General features: G+C 31.4%; 1 protein-coding gene across 15 annotated transcripts in view; it reads right to left on the reverse strand.

The window, feature by feature from the left end:
- The window catches only part of CACNA2D1 (calcium voltage-gated channel auxiliary subunit alpha2delta 1), a 497,513-nt gene that overhangs the window by 55,620 nt on the left and 435,075 nt on the right, over window positions 1-6,818 (reverse strand). For all 15 annotated transcript variants that reach the window (XR_001744873.3, XM_005250574.4, XM_005250572.4 and 12 more), the window contains exons 16-18: window positions 5,616-5,693; window positions 3,702-3,776; window positions 3,360-3,434 (exon numbers count right to left, since the gene is read on the reverse strand). Coding sequence is in view for 14 of the 15 variants with exons in the window: in XM_005250574.4 (XP_005250631.1) it covers window positions 3,360-3,434; window positions 3,702-3,776; window positions 5,616-5,693 (228 nt within the window). In the remaining variant the exon portion in view is untranslated. The remainder of the gene's footprint in view (window positions 1-3,359; window positions 3,435-3,701; window positions 3,777-5,615; window positions 5,694-6,818) is intronic.

The raw sequence follows: 6,818 nt of genomic DNA on the forward strand, positions 1-6,818 counted from the left end.
TAACAATTTTCTCAAAAAATTGACCCAAATATAAATATTTTTAATGTCCATCCCTCAATTCATATGTTGAAATCCTCATCTCCAGAGATGATGGTATCCAAAGGCTTTTGGGAGGTGATTAGGTCTTGGTTGGTGGGTCCCTCATGAATGGGACTGGTGCCCTTGTAAAAGACGCCCTAGAGAGAGACACGTCTCACCCCTTCTCCTCCATGTGAGGTTAGAGTGAGAAGATGGCTGTCTAGAGGGAGGCAAGCCCTTACAGAACACCAATCTGTCCAAGCCTTCATCTTGAACTTCCCAGTCTTCAGAACTGTGAGTTACTAAATTCTGTTTATAAGCCACCCAGTCTATAGTATTTTGTTATAGCAGCCTGAATGAACCAAGAAAATTGTACGATATTAAAAAGTTTTAACGTTTCATATTTGTGCCTTTGTTTTCTGAAGTGATACCAAATGTTATATCTATGAAACTAATAGAGAATGTAACCATAACAGTGTAGATTTATTTTAAATATTAACTTCTCAAACATAGATTATGCACAATTTCCTATACAATACATATTTCTTAGAATTGAACAAAATGAGATATCTAATTAAGTAGACCTAACCTGGCTACTTCAATGACACAAAACGGAAGAAAGTTAAAATCCATTTTGGAATAAAGCAGAATACATAATTCAACATACGTCAAAATGTGGTCATGCTGGTAAAAGTACACACTGAGAAAATGTTATGAATCCTTAAAAAATTAAATATGTGAAAAGTCCGTAGCTATTTTATGATATTCTGGGGGCTTTTAAAGAACACTCATCTTCTACAAAAAAAAAAAGAGGAATACTTGCATAACATTAGACTTTCACCTTGTTAAATAATAATGGCTGCTATAGATATAGCATTATTTTTCTTCACTTGTATTAATGAATTTCTGATAAAATAATTAAGATTTTGTTAGTATACTGTTACCATATGTTCCTTTGTATTTGTTGATTTCTAAAGCAATTATCTTATACTATATCATCCTTTTATGAGGTCTTGTATCAATCTGTATAGCGTGCTCCTTTAGCCACTAAATGGAATCATAAATGGAAATCATAATATTTACTGAATTAATGATGAGAATTCATAAGCATGAATTTCAGAAATAAAGAATAAATTGATGTTCAGAATAATTTCTTTTTCATGGTGTTCTGAAATAGTATTTTTGGAAATGTCTTTCTGTTACATATTAATATTTGCTTTAATAAAATCCAAATATAAAGATATGCAAAGCTAATTTATAATATGGAAGAAAAATATCAATTGGGCTTTAATGAAGTTGCTAAAGAATTTGTTTTCTCTGTAATATTATAAATTTTAGTGAATTATTTCAAATACGAGCCAAATATAGGTTAATGTCATTCAAATAGTAATATTTTCTACATAAATACTGGTTATTAGTAGAAGAATGTAGAAAAGGAAAAAAACTTCAAATTATTACTTCTCTTTCACTATGAAAACTGCCTAAATTGTTACAGCCCTTAGATGGTAGATTTATATATATAGATATATAGATATATATATATAAATCATATATGCATTATTGTACTTATTCTTCTGTCTATGATATATGTTAGTTCCTTTGGGTAAGGGTTAAGGTTTATAATCACAAAAGTAGAGATCCTTCACACCCTTCATCACATTACTTTTTTTTTTTTTTTTTGAGATGGAGTTTCGCTCTTGTTGCCCAGGCTGGAGTGCAATGGCGTGGTCTCGGCTCACTGCAACCTCCGCCTCCCGGGTTCAAGAGATTCTCCCTGACTCAGCCTCCCAAATAGCTGGGATTATAGGCATGTGCCACCACACCCGGCTAATTTTGTATTTTTAGTAGAGACAGGGTTTCACCATGTTGGCCAGGCTGGTCTCCAACTCCTGCCCTCAGGTGATCTGCCCGCCTGGGCCTCCCAAAGTGCTGGGATTACAGGCATGAGCCGCCACGCCCAGCCCACATTACACTTTTATTCCTTTTGAATTACTTTAGTTAGGGGAATTTAATTGAAAATACACTGGATATACAAAGCCCAAACAATAATACTTCAAAATTATAAAAAAATTTAAGATATAAAAAGTTTTCAAGCTATAGCAAAATCATAGGATGATTAGCCAAACATAAATTACTCTTTTAAGAGGAATTTAACAGGATATGCTTTTAAAGAGCTGTGGTAGTTTAATAATAATATGAAAAAGTACTTATGCAACATTTATATTAAAACAACACATTTAAACATAACTAGGGTGATCAACAGCTACACGTGCTACAGATAATTATGTGATGAATTTGATATGGAAATACGTTCCAAAGTCAGATAAACTAAAATAGACATTAGTTATAAAATGTAATATTATTTAATGTATTAAAATATATAATTAATATATTACATTTAATGTATTTTTGCATTCAATATCAATAGTTCTCTTATGGATTTGAACCATATTTAAATAACACAAGTTTTTGTGTGAGTATGTTCACACACTTGTGATATATTCTAATATATGACTAACATTAACTATCCATGACTCGGGAGAAAGTAGTAGTATGCATAAGTCTGCATGGTTTAAAGGATCTTCAACATTATCTTCAAAGTATAACAATAACTAAAAGGATGCTTCTAAAGTTACAATTATAAGACGTCTAAATAAATTTTGCTATTAATGCCCTGTGAAACAGTTCATGAAGAGTGAAATGAGTTGTACAAGGTAATTTGTGAAAATATCTTGTATCTTGAGAAAATAGGCATAAAAATTAGGATAATATGGTTCATCGATGGCATTTTATCTCTTTCAGATTAACTTGCTGATTAATAAATACTTCCCATTTCTGAAGCCCATCACATGGATTTTACTTATACAATCTCTTACATCTGTTTACAGGCCTGTCCTAAAGTAAAAGGAAAACCATTCTGGGAGATGGAAAGCAGAGTTAATTACTAGAAGAGAAGGGCAATAGAAAATGTGGCCTGGACATAAATAAACATTACTAATATTTATCAGGTTCACACTCCTGTCTGGAGCAATATCCTTTTTATCTTACAGCCTTAAAATCAAAGTCAGAAGTGGGATGCATGAAATTGAGGCTCAGTGGGTGATAATGGCTGTCTTTGAGATAAAAATGTTGCAGCTAAATTGGTAACAGAAAATGAAAACTGCTTTCACACTTTCATATAGTATCATGTGTGGTCCTTGTCATCTAAGAAGAGAGACGCATTAGAGACTGTACTTTGATATTTAGTGTTATACGGTAAATTTTAAAACAACAATCCTATTAAGAACATTAATCATTAATTCTACAAAACACTAATCACTGTAAACAAATTATATACTGACCTTTGGCTGAAGATTTGGATGTAATAAAACATAACCATTAGGATCGATTGCAAAGTAATACCCATTGGGGCACAGCTGGAAAAGAAAAAAAAAAAAAAGCTTGGATATGCCTGAGTCACAATTAGAAATCTATATTCTTTTAAATACATAATGTATTAAATACACATTGTATAGCATGTTGAAAGATAACATGGAATCATTTTATTTTAGAGATGCTTTTAACCATTTAGTTCCTTTGCTAAGATAACTGCCCATAATTTTTGAGAATTACCTAAGTGCCAAGCTAAGTTAGTACAGAGTTCTAAACTAGAAAGGGTATCAAAAGAGCAAATTTCATCTTACTGTAAAACGTGGTGTCAGTCTTTTAATATCTTCCAAAGACACATCTACTCCCATCACACCAAGAATCAGCTGGTTCTATAATAAGAGGGCAAAAAATGGCATTTTATGTCAAAAATTTACGTATTTTTACACAATTATCATATGATCATCTTTTGCTTGCATTATGGTTATATTCCACATTAGTTTAAATGTATATATAGGGTGAAGCACTCTCAGTGTCAATTTACAAGGATTCTCAGCTTTGTTTCCCACAACTTTATCATCATCATTTAACTTAGCAAAGAAAATCTAGATAATTGAGGCTAAAATATATAAAGGATAAATAAAAATGTTTGACACTTCTTGTACCCTTTTCTTCTAATATTTATTTTCACTGCTATTGTACGGTCAGCCCTTATAGCTGTGTGTCTATATATGTGAGTTTAGATTGACTTTATGGTTTACTATAATTAAGAAACCACAAGAATGTCCAGCTTAAAGATTATACAATATAGAATAAGAACACATTGGATTTTTGCTGCAGATAGTTCCTGTGTATGTAACTATCCTAAAAGTATGTGACCATATTGGTGATAAAATCCTCAAAACACTATTTCTAGTCACTGCTAATAACTTCTATATACCAAGCAACAGGCATCATAGTTTTAGGTGCAAGTAGAGGAGGCTTGTGGCAAACTGCTATCATAATCTTCTATGGGACATAAAGATGGAAATTGTTTTAAAATTTTGGGTCCAAAATTGTTGTTTCAAATGGAATTATATAAATTATAAAATAATAAGCAAAAAATTATAAAATCTAGTAATTACAAAAACATTTAAACCTTGTGTAGGCACAGATAGAGTAAGAAAGTTGTATCAACAACTATGCTCTTTTCCATGAACCAATCCTAGTCTGAGCAAAAACTTCCCAACTGAAGCAATCTCTTAGTTCACAGTGAGATCTGTGAACACGTATGAGAAAGTGAGAGTTACTCTTTTATGAGTTACAATATTTAGAACCTGCAGATAGTTAAGAATGGTAATAGGCCCCCAAAGAGAAATAACTGTTTTCTATGGCCACCTTATTAACATAAGGAGTTCAACTGAGATATATAATAACTGATCAAACAATGCTTAAGTGCAGCAGACGTCATGAAACCATAAACTGGAAATAAATATCTACTCAAATCAAGTATATCACCTACATTATAAAATCAGTTTCTAGTATTAAAAAAGTCTTAACTTCAAAATCTCAAATTCCTTCTGAATCAAGCTAAAAAATTGGAATGCAATCCTATTTAAAATCAAAAGCATTTAACAAATAATAAGTACAAGATAAATAATTTTTAGAACTTTTAAATAGGCATTTTACTGCATTGACAAAAAACCAGTGCTATAAAAATTAAGCATTCTATGAAATTATTCTTCCTGTATCCTAAAAATAGAAAAAAAAAGAGAAATATTAATTTAAATCAGATCCTTAAGTTACAAGATAATTTTTAAAAAGCTATTGTTTGGGAGTTGGGGAGGAATGATTTAATATACCAATGTACACCTGATACAAACATCGCCATGCTTTTGGTCTTTGGATTTTTCTTTCTAAACTCCATTAATAGCTCAGATGGATTCTTAAAATGTGCACACAATATTACTGTCCATTTATCATATAATTACTCCCAGAGTCTGACTCTGTGTTCTCATCAGGTCATAGTTAAGTGGAGTTAAGTTGAATCTTGGCTCTAGGGCAACAGAGAGTTTGACCTGCATTTCCTTTTTCCCAGGTGGTTATCGCATAGGCAGCTGTTGCCTTTGACCTCTGGCCTCACAAGACAATTACACTGCATGTATTTTCTTATGGAAATATCTTATCCATGTTGAGCTTCAACGTCACAGTTTGTCATTTATTATTATTAATTTTATCAATTAACTTTTAACCTTTAAGTTTGTCTTATTTTCAAATTGGCCGGTTATGTTGAAGACCGGAAGAGTTCCAGTAATGACAAGTCCCAGTTCCTAAAAATAGATTCAGAGAGAAAGGGCAAATTAAAATTACAATTTAAGCTTTGTCAGAGTGCACTAACCTTTGATATCTGAGATTGCATTTTATAGTTACTTTATAAAGAGCCACAAAAACTAGTAACTCATTTTGAATATCTATTAAAATTTATTTTTAAAATATCAAGGAAAATATCTTGGAAATAATTAGGACCTACTAGGCACCTACTGAAGCATGCAACATTTAAAATAATCCTCTAAGATAACTTCAAAAATAATCAGCTTACACAAATAGTCAACAGCCTGTATGCATTTCAGTAACCCTGTGTCCTCCCCCTTTTTCATAGTGATAGTTCACCTAATATCAGGGCCTCCATAAGCAGAGTGATAATAAAATATTATTTTAAGTGATTATTTAGCTTCCCTTTTTGTAGCCTTATTCTTTATTTTTTATGCCCTAAGCCAAAGACTTCATGCTAAATGAAAAATGTGCAGTTGAATAACATGATAAATAAAAGAAACATTCTATTGATACTGCATATCTGGGATATTCTAAGTAAATGTTACGCTCTTCAGAAGCAGTACTACTTTTCTAAGTAGACCCCAAAATAAGCAGTACTTTTTGACAAGTAAAATTATGAAGAAAAGACAACTGCAAGCATCAAATATAAAAGTCTAGTCTGAAGAGTTTAACATAGTAGAACTAATGCCATCCTATTAATCAGCACATAATTTAATACATTAAATGAATCCATACAGATTAGTCAAAATAAACTGATTTTCAAGTCAGAGTTTGCTTTTGTTACTGACATCTATATCCATTATAATTTTAACCATTTCATGTCAAAACTACATTTAACAAAATCACTCTTTAAAATAATTTTTATTGTTTGAAATTTTGAATTTGCTAAATGAGAAATTATTATTAATCTTCTCACGAATAGTGATTCCAAATCCAAATCTCAAGAACTCAGAACAGAGTTCTGGAATCAGAACCGAGTTCATAAAGTTGGATTTGGAATAATTATTCACTAGAACATTAAAAATATTTATTAATATCAGGGAGCAAATGTTGTGGTATCAGGTTGTGGTTCATAATTGTGCACATAGGAGGCCCAAATTCAATGGGAATATGAATGAATT

The sequence above is a fragment of the Homo sapiens genome, chromosome 7 (genome assembly GCF_000001405.40).
Source record: "Homo sapiens chromosome 7, GRCh38.p14 Primary Assembly".
Lineage (NCBI taxonomy): Eukaryota > Metazoa > Chordata > Mammalia > Primates > Hominidae > Homo > Homo sapiens.